General features: G+C 40.3%; 1 protein-coding gene and 1 long non-coding RNA gene across 4 annotated transcripts in view, besides 1 other annotated feature; one reads left to right on the top strand and one right to left on the bottom strand.

Moving 5' to 3' along the window:
• Positions 1–4,708, bottom strand: part of LINC00437 (long intergenic non-protein coding RNA 437) — a 154,676-nt gene extending 149,968 nt beyond the window's left edge. The window contains exons 1-2 of the long non-coding RNA NR_126377.1: positions 4,472–4,708; positions 1,720–1,820 (exon numbers count right to left, since the gene is read on the bottom strand). This is a non-coding gene — a long non-coding RNA (long intergenic non-protein coding RNA 437). The remainder of the gene's footprint in view (positions 1–1,719; positions 1,821–4,471) is intronic.
• Positions 5,110–21,929, top strand: part of FREM2 (FRAS1 related extracellular matrix 2) — a 200,055-nt gene continuing 183,235 nt past the window's right edge. For all 3 annotated transcript variants that reach the window (XR_941571.3, NM_207361.6, XM_017020554.2), the window contains exons 1-2: positions 5,110–10,550; positions 15,731–15,820. Coding sequence is in view for 2 of the 3 variants with exons in the window: in NM_207361.6 (NP_997244.4) it covers positions 5,378–10,550; positions 15,731–15,820 (5,263 nt within the window). In the remaining variant the exon portion in view is untranslated. The remainder of the gene's footprint in view (positions 10,551–15,730; positions 15,821–21,929) is intronic.
• Positions 16,005–16,299: a silencer, noted in NCBI's record as "tiled region #9586; HepG2 Repressive non-DNase unmatched - State 24:Quies, and K562 Repressive non-DNase unmatched - State 24:Quies". NCBI's record gives its function as "represses a minimal TATA promoter and a strong SV40 promoter by Sharpr-MPRA in HepG2 and K562 cells {active_cell/tissue: HepG2 | K562}" and the evidence as "EXISTENCE:reporter gene assay evidence [ECO:0000049][PMID:27701403]".

Below are 21,929 nucleotides of genomic sequence, written 5' to 3' on the forward strand. Positions count from 1 at the left end.
CAACAATTAAGGGTAAAAACATGTGAGATGAGGAAAGGTCTAGAAGCAAGACAGTTGGTGTGTTCACAAAAAAATCTGTAGTTTAGTATGGAAAGTAAAGATGAAGAGAATGAGTTTCATTCAATAAGCAATGAGAGGTTATAATTCAAAGAAACTTGGATGTAAAATAATGGTGAACTGAGCTAGGATAATGACAGACAGTAGTGGAAAGAGAAGACAGTTGTAAGATACACTGTGGAAACAGATTTTCCCCAACTTGATGGACTGGAGAGAGAGATAGGAGTTGTGGTCAAGGTAACTTGTGACGTTACCTTATAGAAGGTTCATGAGTCAGTTTGATGAAAAAGTTGAAGAAGCAGATGTACATGATTCACAGGATTCTGAAAGACACAGATGTGTGCAAAGATTGCGGGGCTATCTTAGTTAAGGGAGAATGCTATTCTACAGATGAGAAAAATTAAGCATAATTGTAATCAAAGATGGAGCAACTAGAAAGACTGGAAATACAGATAAATGAAAACTAATAACCAATAGATATAATTGATAGGTATATTATCATTTATGATAATGAAACATTCTAATCTTTCATTTAAATTATAAGAAATAAATCTAAAAAATACACAGAGAGAGAGAGAGAAAAGAGAGAAAGGTGTTTGAAAAAAATGATCCTTTCTCTTCATTTCCACTTTGCATATATACCTATACATAAACACATATTTCATTTTATATTTGTATATAAATGACCTCCTCCTCAATTACACATTTTTAGAGATGTGTAATTGAGCAAATGGAAAGGCCAGTTTCAAAACAGGTTTTCTGGCTTCTAGTCCAGTGCTCTTTCTTCTTCCCCACATAGACTCCCATCTGAACATAGCTTTGTCTGGAAAGTCTGGGCGCTTGTGAAGCCATATGTTACTCAATAATAAATCCATCTTGAAAATTCGCCTATCCTTATGATGAGTTTAATTAAGTTTTGCATTTCTAGACTTTTATTTCAATTTTATTTTTTATTTAAAAATAGTTACTTAGAGATGTTGTATTTAAGCTGTCCACGTCAATTAATACAAATGTTGTTCTGTATATTTTACAGCAAGCAAATGGAAAGGCCAGTTTCAAAACAGGTTTTCTGGCTTCTAGTCCAGTGCTCTTTCTTCTTCCCCACATAGACTCCCATCTGAACATAGCTTTGTCTGGAAAGTCTGGGCGCTTGTGAAGCCATATGTTACTCAATAATAAATCCATCTTGAAAATTCGCCTATCCTTATGATGAGTTTAATTAAGTTTTGCATTTCTAGACTTTTATTTCAATTTTATTTTTTATTTAAAAATAGTTACTTAGAGATGTTGTATTTAAGCTGTCCACGTCAATTAATACAAATGTTGTTCTGTATATTTTAGGCAGAAACAATTGAGCCGTTCGCAAGGGGCATGAATTTGAGTTCTACATTTTCTGACCTAGTAGCAGTGATACATTTTTGATTAGTAGTGTTTCTGGCAAGAATGAGACCTATAGCCAATGGCCAAGGGACATGAGGAAGCAAAATAGCAGGTCGTCCATAAATTTGGTCTTATGCCACAAGCTTATTAAAACCAAAAGGGAATTTGTCCACAAAGACTGACTCTCTTGTTTTACAGTTGAGAAGACTATAGTTGCAAAACATAAAGAGGATTGCTGTAAGTCATAATTTAGTGGATGTCAAAACCGCTACTGGAACCCACCTCTTGGTTAATGAGTCCGTAGCTGTTTGTCCTCACCCCTCAGTGCTGCTCTGAAATCGATGAAGTTTTGTGTTTATGGTCAAACCATGGTTTTGATGCCACTGAAGAATAAGCATTTGTTGAGAATGAATAAAGATGTTTCACAAGAAACTTCAATAATTCATCTGTAAGTATTTTAAAAGTGTCTATAAGGCAATCTTCTCTATTGGAATCTTATGACCCGGTGGAGAAGCATAAGGAAAATGAAATAAACTATATAATGAAAACTATAATTCTCAAAATTTAACTAGATGTATTTTTAGTTCCAGTCTGACCTCCAGTCCTAGACCTACTAGGTATTAGGTATTTCCTACTAATAGGTAGTAGTTAGGTAATAGTTAGGTAGACCTACTAGGTACTAGGTATTAGGTATTAGGTATTTCCACCTAAATACCTTGCCTGAATCATAAATTAATTACATTGCTTCCTTTATTTTAGAAAACAAGTTCTCTAGTGCTTAATCTTAGTCTGTGAGTTTTAGCAATCAATAATTTTAACTCTAAGTTGATATGAGACAACACTTTGGTATGACTTTAAAGTAGCAAACAAATTTAAGAATGTATTTTAAGGAATATTTTGCCCATGGTATGTATAGGAAGCGTTATAAGGCTTAAGGAAGTAAGAAGTGAAGTGTTAAGCTCGAATTTTGTAAAAAAAAAAAAAAAAAAAAAATCACATTTGCTAACTTATTCTTCATGAAATTGAGTGATATTGAGAACGCTGACTGTAAAATAATAATTTTCTTGCTATTTTAGCATTCATATCTTTTAACACTGAACTAGGAGCCTAAACAGAGATGATCTTCATCAATAATATTTGCTCTCAAATAAAAATTTGACATCTCATTGTTTTGTCAATGATCATCAATGTAAAATATATTTAGCCAAATGATAGTTTGAGTTACCTTCTATTTGATTTACAAGACAAATAACTAAGACATTTACCAAAAAATAATAATAATCTCTAAAAATCATTCTATCACTTCGATCAAGGCAGACAAAATTAAAAAGTCAAAAAGATTATAGTTTATTGATTTCCTTAGGCTATGTAAAAATAAATGTGGTCCTGTATTTTTCTTACCATGAAACAAAATATTGAACTCTGCCCTTGAGGCATACTACCATACTTCAAATGCTGATCTTATCATTGCTTGCAAGTCAAACAGAGTTGGACTTTAAAAGGAGGAAAGGAAAACCCTGGAGCCACTAAGAAGCATCAAGGGTCAAGCTGTTAGTCTGGTTCTGCTCAGAATTTACCCAGGGTCACAATGCCTGGATAAGGCCACTTTGCTTCCAGATGACATTTTTCAATACAAACACACAACCAGAATTTGAAATTTACTATAAAAAGAGCCATATTCTGAAATTGGTTTTCTAGTTTACTTGGCATCTTATTTGTTTTAATTTGGAACAGGAAATAGCAGAATTTCCCCCCATGTTCCGCATTTTGAATTCTGTATGCGATAATAAATAATCATATAAATTATAAAATAATAATGACAAAGCAAATAGGAAATTGGTAAAGAGTTAGATGGGGGATTTTCTAATGTATTTAAAGTAAGGGCCACATCCCTTCTATGCTCCTGGATGCCCATTTTGTAATAAATTGTGAAATGTATCCATCAGTTTCTAAGTTGTAGTTAAAAGCTCCTCAAACAATGCACAGCACACAGAATAATCTTAATTAATATTTAATTAACTAAATGTTACTTGTTTGCGTGCTTGCACACTTGCTTGGATGAGTGACTCCTTTAAATTGATCTCTTGCTTCTTTTTGAAAGATTTTAGAACTTCCTGTCTATGATTCCTGGAAACGGACACCACTCAGTAGGTTTCATGGAAAGGAATCTGGCATCTCCCAGCCATACTTATGTACAGAGTTTGTGCTGCAGCCTGGAAAATAGCTGTAACTGTGTCAAGCAAGGATCAAAATCCTGGTCTGGAGGAGCTCAAGCTGAAAACACAAAGGCTTAAAAGGATAGGCACTTCTTACTGAAATTACTCCCATAGGCACCTTCTAGCTTCAATTTAGACTGAAATGTAAAAAGACATTAACAATTTCTTATATTTCCCTCTTTTCCAAATTCAAAATCCCTTGGAGCAGGAAAAGGGCAATTATGGCTAATTATGACTATTACTCCAATTCTATGCTCCTGTTAGCAATCAGATTTGCATTACTGGAGAAAAAAAATATTATCCTAAATAAAACATTCTGACTATGATTGCTTAGGAGCCAATCCGAAAATGATTAAGTTTAAATTACAAGGGATCTTTTTTGAGGGGGGGAGGAGAGTTGATAAAAAAACCTTTTAGAAAGGGAATCTACACACTACTAAAACCAAACAAACACAAGGGGGCAGGAAGAGCTCAAGCTCTGACTTCAAAACCTGTTGGCTGAAATGAGAGCTAAACTATTTTAGTGTGCCCTCCGGATATTTATCAATTTTCGTGGCATGCAAAGAAATGTGATGCTGACAAGTAGATTTAGTTTGTGCTTGGTCTAATTACTGCGAAGAGAACAGGAACGTCTCTAATGACAGCTACCCTAACAGAGTCGGATTTGGGAGCGCCTGGGGCCACATTCCCTAGAATTTATTCTTTGGTGCAAGACTAGCAATTCTGATCAGACTGCATTTCTCACGCATTCCAAATGCCCTTTTTCCCTTTTACTCTGTGAACCTCGGTTGCAAAGGAGGGGCTTGTTAAAAACTCACCAATCGGAGGACTGTGCCCATTGTAATTCACGAGGAGAAGGCAGCGTCTGGGCGCGCCGAAGGGGGCTGGGCTGGAGTGCAACCTGCTCTAGCTATGGCTTTTAATTCCAGCTGTCCTTTTGCAAATATGCCCCAGAATTTCTTCTCAAACGCTCTGGGTTTCGCTTCAAACTCAAAAAGCATTGCGTCTAACTTTCCCCTGGGTTTGCAAGTTTCCTTGGGAAATGGCCATGCCCTGCGCGGGATTTCATTGACTAGGGCGGAGGGGTGGGGGTGGCTAAAATGGGTAACCCTCGGTCGCCGGCAGATGAAGTGAACCCAGCACAGCAGTGTGTTCCGGCTCCTCTGCAGGAGTACCAGATCTATTAATAGCAGCCCAGAGAGTAGCGCAAGCAGGGGTGGGCAACTCCTGGCCACTTCTTCCCTCACTTCCAGGACAACCTGTTGCGCCTCTATCTCCTCCCCTCCCCGCAGTTTCCCCGCCTTGGCCTCTAAGAGCTGATTGGCAGAAATTACTACCCAACCCTCAGCTCCGCACCTCCTCCCCCGACCAACGATTGGCCACCTGGGAGGACTGGAGTAAGGGGTGCGAGCGGAGGGATTTCCCTCAAAGCCCAGGGTCCGGGGACCTGGAAAGTAGAAGTGGAGGGATTCAATTCTCCGCGCGATTGAGGCGCTAGCGGCGGAGCTGGACGGCCTGGGAAGGCTTCGGCTCCTCGGCTGCGGCTCCAGCCCGGACGGCGCCGCGCAACTTTGCCATCCTTCTGGCCCAGCCCCGGCTACAGGAGGACCCCGCGGGCAACGCGCGGAGTTCCTGGCACTTCCCGGCGGTGTCTCTTGTTGTCTGCCCGGGGACCGACTTCGCATGCTCTCAGGCTGACCTGTCCAAGCCCGAACACCGGGACCATGCACTCAGCCGGGACTCCCGGGTTATCCTCGCGCCGGACAGGCAACTCCACCAGCTTTCAACCAGGACCGCCACCGCCGCCCCGGCTGCTGCTGCTGCTGCTGCTTCTCCTGTCACTGGTAAGCCGCGTCCCGGCACAGCCCGCTGCCTTCGGCAGGGCGTTGCTGTCCCCTGGTCTCGCGGGGGCTGCAGGGGTCCCTGCTGAGGAGGCCATAGTGCTGGCGAACCGCGGACTCCGGGTGCCTTTCGGCCGTGAAGTCTGGCTGGATCCCCTGCATGACCTGGTGTTGCAGGTGCAGCCCGGGGACCGCTGCGCGGTTTCGGTACTAGACAACGACGCACTGGCCCAGCGACCGGGCCGCCTGAGTCCCAAGCGCTTCCCGTGCGACTTTGGCCCTGGCGAGGTGCGCTACTCTCACCTGGGCGCGCGCAGCCCGTCTCGGGACCGCGTCCGGCTGCAGCTGCGCTATGACGCGCCCGGAGGGGCAGTAGTGCTACCACTGGTACTGGAGGTGGAGGTGGTCTTCACCCAGCTGGAGGTTGTGACTCGGAACTTGCCTCTGGTCGTGGAAGAGCTGCTGGGGACCAGCAATGCCCTGGACGCGCGGAGCCTGGAGTTCGCCTTCCAGCCCGAGACAGAGGAGTGCCGCGTGGGCATCCTGTCCGGCTTGGGCGCGCTGCCTCGCTATGGAGAACTCCTCCACTACCCGCAGGTCCCTGGAGGAGCCAGAGAGGGAGGCGCCCCGGAGACTCTCCTGATGGACTGCAAAGCTTTCCAGGAACTAGGCGTGCGCTATCGCCACACAGCCGCCAGTCGCTCACCAAACAGGGACTGGATACCCATGGTGGTGGAGCTGCGTTCACGAGGGGCTCCTGTGGGCAGCCCTGCTTTGAAACGCGAGCACTTCCAGGTTCTGGTGAGGATCCGAGGAGGGGCCGAGAACACTGCACCCAAGCCCAGTTTCGTGGCCATGATGATGATGGAGGTGGACCAGTTTGTACTGACGGCCCTGACCCCAGACATGCTGGCAGCCGAGGATGCTGAGTCTCCCTCTGACCTGTTGATCTTCAACCTTACTTCTCCATTCCAGCCTGGCCAGGGCTACTTGGTGAGCACCGATGATCGCAGCCTGCCCCTTTCCTCCTTCACTCAGAGGGATCTGCGGCTCCTGAAGATTGCCTACCAGCCCCCTTCTGAAGACTCTGACCAGGAGCGCCTCTTTGAACTGGAATTGGAGGTAGTGGATCTAGAAGGAGCAGCTTCAGACCCTTTTGCCTTCATGGTAGTGGTGAAGCCCATGAACACAATGGCTCCGGTGGTCACCCGGAATACCGGTCTTATTCTCTATGAGGGTCAGTCTCGGCCCCTCACAGGCCCTGCAGGCAGTGGTCCGCAAAACTTGGTCATCAGCGATGAGGATGACCTAGAAGCAGTGCGGCTAGAGGTGGTGGCTGGGCTCCGGCATGGTCACCTTGTCATTCTGGGTGCTTCCAGTGGCAGCTCTGCTCCCAAGAGCTTTACAGTGGCTGAGCTGGCAGCCGGCCAGGTGGTCTACCAGCATGATGACAGAGACGGCTCGCTGAGCGACAACCTGGTGCTTCGCATGGTGGATGGAGGAGGCAGGCACCAGGTACAGTTTCTGTTCCCCATCACCTTAGTGCCTGTGGATGACCAGCCACCTGTTCTCAATGCCAACACGGGGCTGACACTGGCAGAGGGTGAAACAGTGCCCATCCTGCCCCTTTCCCTGAGTGCAACTGACATGGATTCAGATGATTCTCTGCTGCTTTTTGTGCTGGAGTCACCCTTCTTAACTACGGGGCATCTGCTTCTCCGCCAAACTCACCCTCCCCATGAGAAGCAGGAACTTCTCAGAGGCCTTTGGAGGAAGGAGGGGGCATTTTATGAGCGAACAGTGACAGAGTGGCAGCAGCAGGACATAACAGAGGGCAGGCTGTTCTATAGACACTCTGGGCCCCATAGTCCTGGGCCAGTCACAGACCAGTTCACATTTAGAGTCCAGGATAACCATGACCCTCCTAATCAGTCCGGGCTACAGCGGTTTGTGATTCGTATCCATCCTGTGGATCGCCTCCCTCCGGAGCTGGGCAGTGGCTGTCCCCTTCGTATGGTGGTACAGGAATCCCAGCTCACACCACTGAGGAAGAAGTGGCTGCGCTACACTGACCTGGACACAGATGACCGAGAACTACGTTACACAGTGACTCAGCCCCCCACAGACACAGACGAAAATCACCTGCCAGCCCCACTGGGTACCTTGGTCTTGACTGACAACCCCTCAGTCGTGGTGACCCATTTTACCCAAGCCCAGATCAACCATCATAAAATTGCTTACAGACCCCCGGGTCAAGAACTGGGCGTGGCTACTCGAGTGGCCCAGTTCCAGTTCCAGGTGGAAGACCGAGCTGGGAATGTGGCTCCAGGTACCTTTACCCTTTACTTGCATCCCGTGGACAACCAGCCACCTGAGATCCTCAACACCGGCTTCACTATTCAGGAGAAGGGTCACCACATCCTGAGTGAGACAGAGTTGCACGTGAATGATGTAGACACTGATGTTGCCCATATCTCTTTCACTCTCACTCAGGCACCCAAACATGGCCACATGAGAGTGTCTGGACAGATCCTGCATGTAGGGGGTCTCTTCCACTTGGAGGACATAAAACAGGGCCGAGTTTCCTATGCCCATAATGGGGACAAGTCCCTGACTGATAGCTGCTCCTTGGAAGTCAGTGACAGACATCATGTGGTGCCCATCACTCTCAGAGTAAATGTCCGGCCAGTGGATGATGAAGTGCCCATACTGAGCCATCCTACTGGCACTCTGGAGTCCTATCTAGATGTCTTAGAAAATGGGGCTACTGAAATCACTGCCAATGTTATTAAGGGGACCAATGAGGAAACTGATGACTTGATGTTGACTTTCCTCTTGGAAGATCCACCTTTGTATGGGGAAATCTTGGTCAATGGCATTCCAGCAGAGCAGTTTACTCAAAGGGACATCTTGGAGGGCTCTGTTGTATATACCCACACCAGTGGTGAGATAGGCCTATTGCCTAAAGCGGATTCTTTTAACCTGAGTCTGTCAGATATGTCTCAAGAATGGAGAATTGGTGGCAATACTATCCAAGGAGTTACTATATGGGTGACCATCCTGCCTGTTGATAGCCAGGCCCCAGAAATCTTTGTAGGTGAACAGTTGATAGTAATGGAAGGTGATAAAAGTGTTATAACATCAGTGCATATAAGTGCTGAAGATGTCGACTCCCTGAATGATGACATCTTGTGCACTATAGTTATTCAGCCTACTTCAGGTTATGTTGAAAACATTTCTCCAGCACCAGGCTCTGAGAAATCAAGAGCAGGGATTGCCATAAGTGCTTTCAACTTGAAAGATCTCAGGCAGGGCCACATAAACTATGTCCAGAGTGTCCATAAAGGGGTGGAACCTGTGGAGGACCGATTTGTATTTCGTTGTTCTGATGGCATTAACTTTTCAGAGAGACAGTTCTTCCCCATTGTAATCATTCCCACCAATGATGAACAGCCAGAGATGTTTATGAGAGAATTTATGGTGATGGAAGGCATGAGTCTGGTAATTGATACACCCATTCTCAATGCTGCTGATGCTGATGTTCCCCTGGATGATTTAACTTTCACTATTACCCAATTCCCCACTCATGGTCACATCATGAATCAGCTGATAAATGGCACGGTTTTGGTCGAAAGCTTCACCTTGGATCAGATCATAGAGAGTTCCAGCATTATTTATGAGCATGATGACTCCGAGACCCAGGAAGACAGTTTTGTGATTAAACTAACAGATGGGAAGCACTCTGTGGAAAAGACGGTCCTCATTATAGTTATCCCTGTTGATGATGAGACGCCCAGAATGACTATCAATAATGGACTAGAAATAGAAATTGGGGATACCAAGATTATCAACAACAAAATATTAATGGCAACAGATTTAGATTCAGAAGACAAATCTTTGGTTTATATTATTCGTTATGGGCCAGGACATGGCTTATTACAGAGACGAAAACCTACTGGTGCCTTTGAAAATATCACACTGGGCATGAATTTTACCCAGGATGAAGTAGACAGAAACTTAATTCAGTATGTCCATTTGGGGCAAGAGGGCATTCGGGACCTAATTAAATTTGATGTGACTGATGGAATAAATCCCCTCATAGATCGTTACTTTTATGTGTCCATCGGGAGCATTGACATTGTCTTCCCTGATGTGATAAGTAAGGGAGTGTCCTTGAAAGAAGGTGGCAAAGTCACTCTTACAACAGACCTACTAAGCACTAGTGACTTGAACAGTCCTGATGAAAACTTGGTTTTTACCATCACCAGGGCTCCCATGCGAGGTCACCTGGAATGCACGGATCAGCCTGGTGTGTCCATCACGTCTTTCACTCAGCTGCAACTGGCTGGAAACAAAATCTACTACATCCACACAGCTGATGATGAAGTGAAAATGGACAGTTTTGAGTTTCAAGTCACCGATGGACGTAACCCTGTCTTTCGGACATTCCGTATCTCCATTAGCGATGTGGACAATAAAAAGCCAGTGGTCACCATCCACAAGCTGGTTGTCAGTGAAAGTGAAAACAAGCTGATTACTCCTTTTGAGCTCACTGTCGAAGACAGAGATACTCCTGACAAGCTCCTGAAATTCACTATCACCCAGGTGCCTATTCATGGCCATCTCCTATTCAACAATACCAGACCTGTCATGGTTTTTACCAAGCAAGACTTGAATGAAAACTTAATCAGCTACAAACATGATGGCACTGAGTCAAGTGAAGATAGCTTCTCCTTCACAGTGACTGATGGCACCCATACAGACTTCTATGTTTTTCCTGATACGGTGTTTGAAACAAGGAGACCCCAAGTGATGAAGATCCAGGTCTTGGCTGTTGACAACAGTGTCCCCCAAATCGCAGTGAATAAGGGGGCCTCTACACTTCGCACTCTAGCCACTGGCCACTTGGGGTTCATGATCACAAGCAAAATATTGAAAGTGGAGGACAGAGACAGCTTACACATTTCTCTTAGATTTATCGTGACAGAGGCCCCTCAACATGGATATCTTCTCAACCTGGACAAAGGCAACCACAGCATCACTCAGTTCACACAAGGTATGTTTCATGTTTCTTTTCTTGGTTATCCTTGTTTCCTGAGAATGTGGCTTCACTAAAAGCCTCACAAACAGAGCATTAAATTAGAGTCCAAGAGAAGGAAAGGAAACAAAGGGGATGGGGAGAATATAGGGACTCACTTTCCTAGGAGGACAGCTCCCTTCTTGTCCTACCTCCCATCTCAGTGGCCTTCATTAGAGGGAGTACTGATGTATTTTGAAAGTGGCAAGGATAGGCTGCCGAAGCAGGAGGTGAACTTTGGTGAATTAAAATCGAAGCAGGCTTTCCAATTCTGCTCCATTTGCCATACCTATCCAACGCATCCTCTGTGTTGTATGCTGCAGGTGGTTCATGAAGCATTTTGGCACCTTAATGAAGGATGTGCTTTCTAAATACTGTTTATTCACATTGCTGTCATTATCAATTACCATTCCAAAAAAGCCTTCAAACTTAGGTTACTTTGAATAAATTTTAAGAGCATTGCTCTGACACGGTTATAGTTGTTAGGAACTTTGTAACTAAAAGATTTGTTTACATTTATTTACTTTGTTGATTTTTAAAATTGTTAATAATATTTCATGACAGGCAAATACTCATCCAGAGACGTAATTGATAAACACCTATCTAGAGTTATAACAATGATATTTACAGGGCATGCTACTAGGATATACATGAAAAAGGAAAGTATACTTAAAGATGTGTAAAATAACAATATGTTCATCACCAAAATATACATCTAATTCATTATTAAGAGCATGAAGATAAGTAGACAAGCTTAATATTAGAAGGGGGAAATTATTTCATCATTGTGAACCTCCTCTCTGACCTGTTGCAAACACAGTGACAAAAAACAGTTGCTTCAGGCACCTGCGGTCTTTAGGCAACAGGATTTTTCTAACCTGAATTTCCTTTGTGGGTGGACACAATCTGAGGCAGAAAGGACAAGTGTCCTATGCAGAGTTATTTAGTGAGGGAAGGGAGAAGCCCATTCACTATACTGGCTTGGGAGTCAGGGCTCCGTTCTGCAGAACATGCAACTTTCATTACAGTGGGATTTGGGTTGCTTTCATGAAAATCTCACCATGTCAGAATGGACACTAGATCTTTCCTATGTGGGATCCATGGGTAGAGATGGAGCTTAACCCCAGGGCATCCCAGTGGGGGTGTTCTTTTCCTGCAACTGTGTTGTACTCTTAGATAACAAATGCTTTAATAAACATGGAAGTAGCAAAATGCACTGTTAAAGTGGACTACTTCTCTGTTTGAGGTGCTGGCAAATAGCTCCACACTCCAACCTCCTGATTCTTGGCTAAAAGCCTGAATGTCTCCCAGGGCCTGCAGGGACAGGAAAACCTCAAAGTGCCAAGTGTCATGCCAGACCAGTAGGAAACTTTTATGTGAAGGCTTTCTGAGGCTAGCGATGCCATGCCGTCTTACACTGGTTTATTTTCATGGAGAGGGAAGAGAATGAAAGGAATATATTAGATAATAGAAAATGGTTCTTCAAATTACTCCTCTGACCTGAAAAAGAAATCTGATTTAGAGATTTTTAAAAGGACTATTTTGATGAAGACAGGCAAATGATTTAATTTAAATTCTGTGGACTAAGTCCAACAGCTCACAATATTAGAATATTATTTCTGAAATTTTGAACTCTAAAAATTATGCTATTTCATTATAGGCAGTTGTTCTTTCTCTTACTGACTTTGAGTCACCATGATTAATTTTTGTCATCTTTGTAAATGTAGAGAAGTTATGCTTATTATGTGATGTGACTTTTTAAGAATTTTTAAGGAAAATTATCACATTCCAATATAAACCAAAATATTGACTAGGGAAGCTGTTGGTATTCAATCACATGGCACTCATTCAAACAAGTCAAGGCTAGACTTTGATCCGTAGCTGTTATTTATGGAGATTAGATAAGTGATTTAAAAAACGGAGAAAGCGCCATCAGAAAGCTACCATGGCTCTTTTTCCACTAGGAGAAATGAAAGCAGTGCTTAAGAGTGAAGACTATGCAGTCCTTTTATTTCTTTTTGTTTTTGCTTTATCATGAAGGGATAAGGTAAACCTATATTTTGATGGATTTTCAATGCATTGAATTAGGTCAGTTTAGCACAGGTAGCTAGAGAAGGTTATTCCTAAATTGATTGACTAAATGGTTCCTAGAAGAAAAAAATTAATTCCTTTCTAAAACTTATTAAATTGATGAAAAGTTAACAATGTATAATTAGGTAAATTATGGATATCATTTATTTATTTCAAACTTCACCTCTTTGCCAAGTTGCCCCTGTTCCCCTTAACCCAGATCTAAATTGCATGTCTCAAGTACCTGGATTTTTCTTCCCTACAATAAGTACGTAATGATATATTCTGTGGGATAATTTATAAGCCAGTTTCAGGAAAGCAGAAATGTCTTCAAAGAGTTTGAACCAGATGTGGCTGCCTGATATGTTAATGAACTTAGAATTAAAAACAAACAAACAAAAAAATCTCATGGAATAATTTTGTAGATAAACTGAAATAAATTTAATGTATATTTAACAACTAGAAGAAAATCTAGATAATTCTTAGATATTTGCTTTAAAAAGATTACATTTTGGCTATTAGATTATATTTCTACTACTTTTGTGTCTTAAGAAAGCTAGACGTTATTACATTTATATATACATAAATATGTAACGTGTGTTTATGTTATTTGTAGAGGTGCCTTTAGAATACCAGTATGATGATGAAAGTCTTTACTTACTTTTTTTAGAGGCTCTTTTTTGAACCATGAATTATTAATTAATTATATGAAAAATATAAAAGGTTTTAGTATGTTCCAACTAATCAATAACACATGCCCTAACTTGGAGGGAAAATTGGGTACCAGAGTGCCATATAGTTGCATTTATGTTTTCTTTATCTGAAAAAAGAAAAGTTCTTAAAATTCTGTTTTGAAGTGAGGATTTATTTCAATGAAACTATCCCTTAACGATTACAATTTCGCTTAAGAAAACATTGATACAGATGCTGGGCATGCTAAACAGTGCCTTTTCTCCTAGTAGAGCCTTTAGATTTTCTTATGCAATTTGAAGGGGTGGGAACATTGGAAGAGGGTCTTCTCCACATGGCCAGAGGTCATGGTTCTTGTGGTAAAGATGTGTAGTCAGCAGAGTTTACTGCATTTTTTTACTGATAAAGTGAAGGTTATACAATTAAGAATTATAACAGTAAACAGGCAAAGAGTTGTGTAGGGGCTTCAGTTCTTACCCTGGCAGAAACATCATACATGCAAAGGTAGAGATACAAGTGTGATCTACCTACTCAGCCTTTTCATTTTAAATTGAGAAACATTTGCGCCTTTGCTACTGTAATATCCTAAGCAAAGAGCTGTGGGAAGTTAAGATAGGAAAAAAAAATCCCAGAAGTTTTTCATCTACTGGGAAAGATAACCATACAGAAAGATAAAAGTGAAACTAGGCAGCAAGTGTGGAAAGTTATAGTAGAGTTAGAAATATGGGGCCTGGCTAGGTGGCTTACACCTATAATCATAGCACTTTGGGAGGCTGATGTGGGAGGATTGCTTGAGGCCAGCCTGGGCGACATAGTGAGACCCACATATCTATATTTTGTTTTAAAAAACAAATGAAGTGCTAAGGGAGAATCAAGCGACTTAGGCATGTTTTACCTCCAAATACCTCTATTAGCAGGAGGGTACCATTAACTATAAAATCAGATTTTCCATTCTGCAAGTGTTCCTAATAATGAGTCACCTTTCAAAACTTTATGAGCCAGGGTAGACCACACATTTTACATCTGTAAAGTGGAGCTATAGAAATTTGTGGCATCATTGGTCCATCCTAATGCCTTGCCTCACTTGAGATTAACATTTCATAAAGCCATTGTCTTCTTTATAAGCCTTTGAATTCCATAGCATGAACTTACTAGAGCTTTTAGGAGATGAAAAAACCATAGAACACACACTAGACAGATAAATATTACCTATCATTGTCATAGCTATTTTTAGCCATGATCTTGACTTTATGTAGTCTTAGAAACTCACTGATTGGCCCAGATCAATTAATGATCTATTATGAGTATCACAGAACAAAACGATTTTTTTCTTATTATGTTGTATGTGTGGCATCATTAAGGAAAGGAACTGGTAAGATGGATGAATAAGTTTTAAAAATTGTGTCTTCATAATGAAAACAAATGTATGCATGTGAATTTGATAAAGTAGGAAACAACATAAGGAACATTTCTGAGGCAATATAACTTTCTGCCATGAATAAAGGTTTCCACTTTTTTTTTTTTTTTGAGACAGGGTCTCATTCTCTTGCCCAGGCTAGAGTGCAGTGGTGCGACCTCAGCTCACTGCAACCTTTGCCTCCCAGGCTCAAGCAATTCTCCTGCCTCAGCCTCCCGAATAGCTGGGATTACAGGAACGCACCACCACACCCAGCCAATTTTTAATAGAGACAGGGTTTCACCATGTTGGCCAGGCTGGTCTTGAACTCCTGACCTCACATAATCCACCTGCCTCAGCCTCCCAAAGTGCTGGGATTATACGCATGAGCCACCGTGTCCAGCCCGTTTCCACTTTTATTAGATGTTTTTTGTTCTCAACAGGGAGTCATCAGTTATTTCAATGTGTGTGATTTTTTGAAAATATCATCTTATTTTTTTCTCTCAAACTTTGGAGAGCTTAAAAAATAGCCTGCTACAGCACAAAAAGTAAGAAAAGTTAGCCAGTGTTGGGGAGCAAAGCTCTGTCCTCTGCGGGCCAGTTCCCTACTGGGAGGCAAAGGATGTGATTTCAAGAGTGCCAGGAAATCTGCCATGCCTCAAAATATCTTCCTTTCCACCTGTCATGGTGCCTGACATTCCATATTTAGACAGTCATTCCTTTGGTGCATGAACATGCAAATACCACTGGGAGGGGAAACACCTTGCTATTATTATAAACTAACTCTTGCACTGTATTTATCTGTGTGAGGGATCAGGTGTCCATGGGACAGCTGAAATCTAGGGGCTTAGAGATCTGAGAAATAAGACAGCACTGTTTCTGTTAGGAGGAAAAAGGAATTTAAACATGTTTATAGGAAAACTAATAGCCAATAAAATTTACCATAATGAATCATCAATTTTACTCTGGTAATTAATCATCTTGTTTTTTGGTTATTTTCTAGCTGACATTGATGACATGAAAATATGCTATGTCTTAAGAGAAGGGGCTAATGCCACAAGTGATATGTTCTATTTTGCAGTTGAAGATGGTGGTAAGTATTCCCCTCTCCTGGTAGTGACCGCAAGGAGAGACGCTTTTCTTGGTTGCTCTCTGATGACATTATTACAAGAAGTCTTCATCAAGTAATATTTCATGATCACCTAAATTTAACCTGGTATTTGCTGTAGACAATTTTACAATCTCACTATGACACAATCCTACTATGTCATGGCTATAGATAAAAGTTCTAGTTATATCACTTTTGTCTTACTATTTGTAAAGCACTAAAGAGAGAGATCTGTATAAATAGGATCTCCATGTCTAGTTGTTCAGATTACACCCTGCATGAGTTTGCCTACTTGAGTCAGTAAGAGGATGTTGGAATTCAGCTGCAGTTCCACTCATAGCCATGTGCTCACTGAGGTGTAGCTGCCCAAAGGAGCTGCTTTTTCCTGATTTGCTCATGGGTTCTGTGTGGACTAATACTGATGGAAAATGTGTTGCATTCACCAAGAAATCAGTAGTAAATTAATGTCTGTTTTATCTCACCAATCTCAGGACTTCTAATGATTTTCTTAGTTTGGGGGATTTTGTGACCTAGTCCAGCTAAAAATTTTTCTTGGTTAAGTGTGAAGAATACTTCAGAGTATAGGATGTGACTTCTGAGCTAAGTCTTTTGGGCGATATTATTCTCATTACTCCCCCAGAACTGCCTGCTGTTTATACTCCTTTCAGCTTTGGATCTCTTGTCTTCCTAACCCTGTGGGTGAGGAGAAAAACTGGTCACTTTCAGATTGCTCATAAAGATGTTTTTGTTCTTGCATGTTTTCTTTTGAAGCAAAAGAACCTCCCCTAGTACATGTGTTGTGTGAACAGGACACCAGAACTGAGGGTATATGTGAGAGAGCAGAGAGAGGAAGGAGAAAAATAATTCATACTCTGTTATCTGTTTCCTTATGATGCTTTTTAAAAATGGCACACTATTATGTCGTCTATCTCAAAAATACTGCATCCTTACCCTCCATGTTTTTTGAAGCATTACATAGTATTTGTTTAAAATATCAATGGACACAACATGATCACAGTTCTGAAAAATGTCAATTGTTGAGTGTGTGCCAGAGAGGCAAACAAAATGTGTTATGTTGGGTTCAACTGTTTGATTCCTACTATGAATCAGAGAGTCAATCATGTGAGTGCCTTTATTTTTTGAGTAACCAAATCATAGTTTAGTATTCTACGTATTGATGAAAGGCATCTTAGCATAAAACGAAGTTCTAAAAAGGAAATCAACTCATAAAAAAAACCTTCTTGAATTTTGCTGCTCAAATGGGAAATTCTATTGTAACTAACTGTAGAGTGAAACCCTGAAATAATCCAAATCTCTGTAACATATATAAAAATTTAAGGATGAAATTATTGGTTTAAAACACCATGTTTATCTCTTAGGATGACTGAGTAAACCTCAATAGCAAAAGTGTGACTTTCTGTAAAATTACCAAAAAAAGTTTCAAATTCAATGGCTGCAATTACACTAAAATATTCTATACTTTTTAATAAAATATTTTGCTTTTTTTGCTCATACACAAACACACACACATTATTTTACCTTACCTGGGTGGAATGGTAGCATTTACTTTAAAATTTTGGTCTCTATTCCAATTTTGGAAAACATTCTATAGTATCATATTTCAAAATATTAAGTGCAAAATATTAAGTGAAGAATGACTAGCTGAAGGGGCTCGGTTTATGTTTGAATTTGCTGAAAATGTGGCAAGGCCTCCAAAGATTGTCTTTATGGAAGTAGGAACATATCATTTTAGGAGTCTTTTTAGAGAGAGAGTTTCATGTGAGAGATAAAAATTTCAGATTTTCTTTTTTACCCTCTTCCTCTTTACTGGCATAACATTACCTATGGAGCTCAGGCAGATTTTGGCAAGCTGTTGAATAGAATTTACTTTAATTCCCCTGATATAAGAAAACTATCCTTTGACAGAATAAACACAGAGACCTGCAAGATTAAAAAGTCACATTGGTATCCCTAAATTGTTTTAACCTGATTCTTAAATTTTTTTAGGATTTTTGCATTGCCGTATAAATCTTCTGACATTTGAATGAGAAGTGCAATACTGTTTAAACTTAATTAACTGTAGTGATTTATTGTCGTCTAGTCTATACAATGATAGTAGGCATATCTATAAGTCATCCCGATGAAATATGAAATGTGTGAGTATTTCACCCCTGGGAAGCAAGTCAGGGCACAATGGCATAAAATTGAGAACTCTGTATGTCCAGCTTGCTTTCCAATCTGATAAATGCATCTTCTTCAAATCAACGTGATTGATTTTATAACAGTAACTATCTAAGGAAATTAGTGGGGCAACCATCATCCATGAATAACCTTAAAAATAAAACATAATTCAATTTAAGGGATTTAGAGTAGGAGAAGAGATTGAGAAGAACAGAAGGCTCAGACCTCTTGTTTCAGATTTAATTGTGTTACCATGGGAATCTGGCTCGCCACAGGATTCTTCTGTTATGATGTAGTAATGGATTAGTGACTATCCATTACTAAAAGGACTATGCTTGGGAAAGGGTTACTACCTTTGAAGTTTTGGAGTGCTTTGGGACTTTTACCAAATGACAGAAGTAAAGAGAGCACTATCTGAGCAACAGATAACATCAGGGTCTTTACCTCAGGGGAAGTCTACTGTATTTGGACTTAATACACGTTGGTTGATATAGCACATGTCCACACACATACACAGATCCTTGTATCTTAGGGTTCTTTCAATTAGATTTCAAACCTTCTATGTTATTTATTGTTTCTTATGCGATTTTACCTTCATAACATCTCTGTGAGCAACAAAAACAGCAAAAAAAACTTAGTATGATTTCTATTTGGCAGATGAGGAAACTGAGTCACCAAAATAAGTAACTTTCCTCCTTCAAGCTGCACAGCTGGGCAACTAGAGGCTGCTTTCAATCTCAAATTCTTTCCTCAGTAATAAGCGATAACTTCCACACTTATTCAGGATAGGGATAAGAGGGGGAACTCTTGAACTTCTCTGGGTTCTCCAGACCAACTTTCTAGGAATGTTTAATAGATGTGAGTGAAGTCAGAGTAGGATCTGCTTTTAGGATAGACAAAGAGCTTTGTGTTTTCTAAAATGTGCATTTTTATTTTAAAATACTTTAAAAGTTGTAGTGCCCTAAACTTTGTAGTACTCTTTCTTGGTATCATAGTGTAATTCTCTTTTTAAAAACCTTTGTTTTCGGTTCAGAGGTACATGTGGAGGTTTGTTATATAGGTAAAGTCATGTCAAGGGGGGTTGTTGTGCTGATTATTTTGTGACCCAGGTACTAAGTCTAGTACCCAATAGTTACTTTCATAGTGCAATTCTTAAAATGATTATTTTATAATGCAATATGCTTATTGGAATATTAGTAAAGAGCATGAAAATGTGATATCAGAATAAGGCACTCACCCAGGTGTTCTGGGCCAGTCAACATACATGAATGCATCATTACAAAGTATAAGGTCAAACTCTGAAGTTCAAGAATATATTCCCGCTGTCTGCGGCTTCATCTAATGAGCTCGTGTATATATGTAGCAACTGCCTGTGGATTTAGCTGTCTTCCATTTCTTTTGGTTTTCGTGCTTTATATCTTCACGAAGGTAACTTATAATAATACAGACCTGGGAAATACATCTTCCTTTGTTGACTGCCTCTTTGAATTGTAATTCCAGATCCAGTACTCTGGAATTTTGTTAGGGAGAAATAAAATATTTATTCTTTTATCCTCTTTGTAGTCAAACATTTTTATCTGATTCCTTCTCAGTGTTCAACTCTCTGTAATTTTTCTATAAGGTATTCTAACATGAAAGTGCTTTGTCGGGCCCTTCTAGCTCTTTATTGTGATGTGAAAGCTGGTCTCAAATAACTATTCCAGGCATGCCCCACCCTCAACCCTAATGATTGTTAATCACTCTTCAACACCAGGCTCAAATATCATTTCCTCTCCAAAGTTGCTCCCAACATCACAATTACATAATTAGTCTCACTCTTTTTTATGCTTTTCTCCCCAACTTTATTTACAGTAAAAATTTATATTATGATTATTTGCTAATGTGGAAACCTCCATTAGTAAGGAAGAAACTCCTTCATATCAAAAAAGGTATCATTAATCTTTGTACCTCAGTGCCAAGGCTGAGCACGAGGTAAATACTTACCGAACATTAAATAAATGAATGGATAAACAGGAGAAAAACAATTGCTCTCTTTTGACATAAAGATCAATTAAATAGTATTATATGAAAAACTCCTATAAACAATTCCCAGTAGACCCTTTGCATTCCTTTAGAACGTTGTTCTATCCTAGCATTAATTTAAATCCCTATGGCACCAGGAAAGTTTTTTAGTGAAGCTTTCACATTTTTAAACGCATGAAATTAACTAAATCAACTGCTGTGAAAATTCCTTCAAAATCTTCAGTGAAATGTACTTAAGATTGAAGTATTAACCACCAGTTCAGAGCTCATATTATTCTTAAACAAGCCTTTTCAGAAAAAAAAACTTGTCGGTTTATTATTAAAGAATTATACAATTTAAAATCTAAAAGGAAATAACCATTTCCTATAAGTCACTAAAATTTTCAAGCCAGCAGCACCACTACTGTATTTTCAGTTACCCCAGTATTTTCTTGTGTGGTATGAGATAACATTAGGACAGGTGGAGAAGTAGAAGACAATACCAGCAAAAAGTATCTCTAGTTTTCATTAAAAAGTCCTCGTGTAAACTTTTTTGTTTGTTTGTTTTAAGTCTCAAAGCCTCAGCATCAGATCCAGCTTGTTTCTTGATGGGCTTGAGAAAAAATTAGAATACATACCTCAGCATCAGATCCAGCTTGTTTCTTGATGGGCTTAAGAAAAAATTAGAATACATGATCACCTGGCTGGACATATTGAGTAGGAGGAGTCTTACATTTGTATTCATTATGAAAACCAGCTTGCTGCTTCCTTATTTGAAACCTCTCATATGACATAGGCATGCAGTCTCAGTGAGTTCTGCCTGCTGAGTTTGGCATTGAAACTGGGGCGGCAGACATAATATCTGTGTTGGCCATTATAGTGTTATCTGGGCCACAGCCAGACATTTTTTTGCTGCTGTCTTTGATTATGCCTTTGGTGCCCAATTTTCCATCCCCCAAGATCCTTGATTCATATGCTATTGAAGGATATTATAAATAGTATCTTGACATAGTAGAAGCTGCAAAGTCATTTCTGTATATGAAATGTCATTTAAGGTCAAGGCTTTTGAATTGTTATTCCGTATTTGATGATTGACTCCTCAAACACAAAGAGACTACCGGAAGCCTTTCATTTTTAATAGAAGGAGTACAAGTTTTTGCTTGAAAATGACCAATAACTTTGGGGTTTAAGGCAAAATAATTACTGATAATTAGCTTGAAGTTAAATCAAGGGCTGGAAAAATATAAATAGAGTAAGTAGAAAAGAGAGGTCTGAGTACAAGCATTAAAAGATTATACAGACATATTCAGCTCAGAGAAAAAAGCAAGCATTCTTGGCAATAAAATTAATTGCTAGTGACATGAGAACCAGGGGGAAAGATGCTAGTGCCTTAGGGAGTTATAATAAGATGGTGAAGTAATGTCAGGCACTGATACAAATATTTTTAATCTGTGAGAGACCACAAGGTCTACTAGAATACAGATCTTGGGAAGGAGTGTTGGCTACTGTGGCTGAATGTTTGTAAGCCTTTCACTCTTCATTGAGCAGTTCACAATAGATCAAGTCATCAGGGTGTTTCTAGGCCAGATCCCTGCCTTTAAAAGCATGATTCTATTAAGGTACCTGTACTGTGTGCAAGAACGAAGTTAAACCTTTTAGATAGAAAAGTATAAACTCAAGTTTTTATACCTTTTAGATAGAAAAGTAAAACTCAATTTTATTTATTATTATTCTTTAGATTCATTCCAAAATTATACATTATATGAATATACTGTTTTCATTGGCTTTAGTTCCGAGAACATTTTTTTAAATTGTTAAATCTTTGGGTGACAATGAATTCTTGTTAGGAAGATTTCTAGAAATTTCACATGATTTCATATTACTCAGAACAAATGATAGTCACCTTTTAAAC

Source organism: Homo sapiens, chromosome 13 (genome assembly GCF_000001405.40).
Source record: "Homo sapiens chromosome 13, GRCh38.p14 Primary Assembly".
In the NCBI taxonomy this organism is placed as follows: Eukaryota; Metazoa; Chordata; class Mammalia; order Primates; family Hominidae; genus Homo; species Homo sapiens.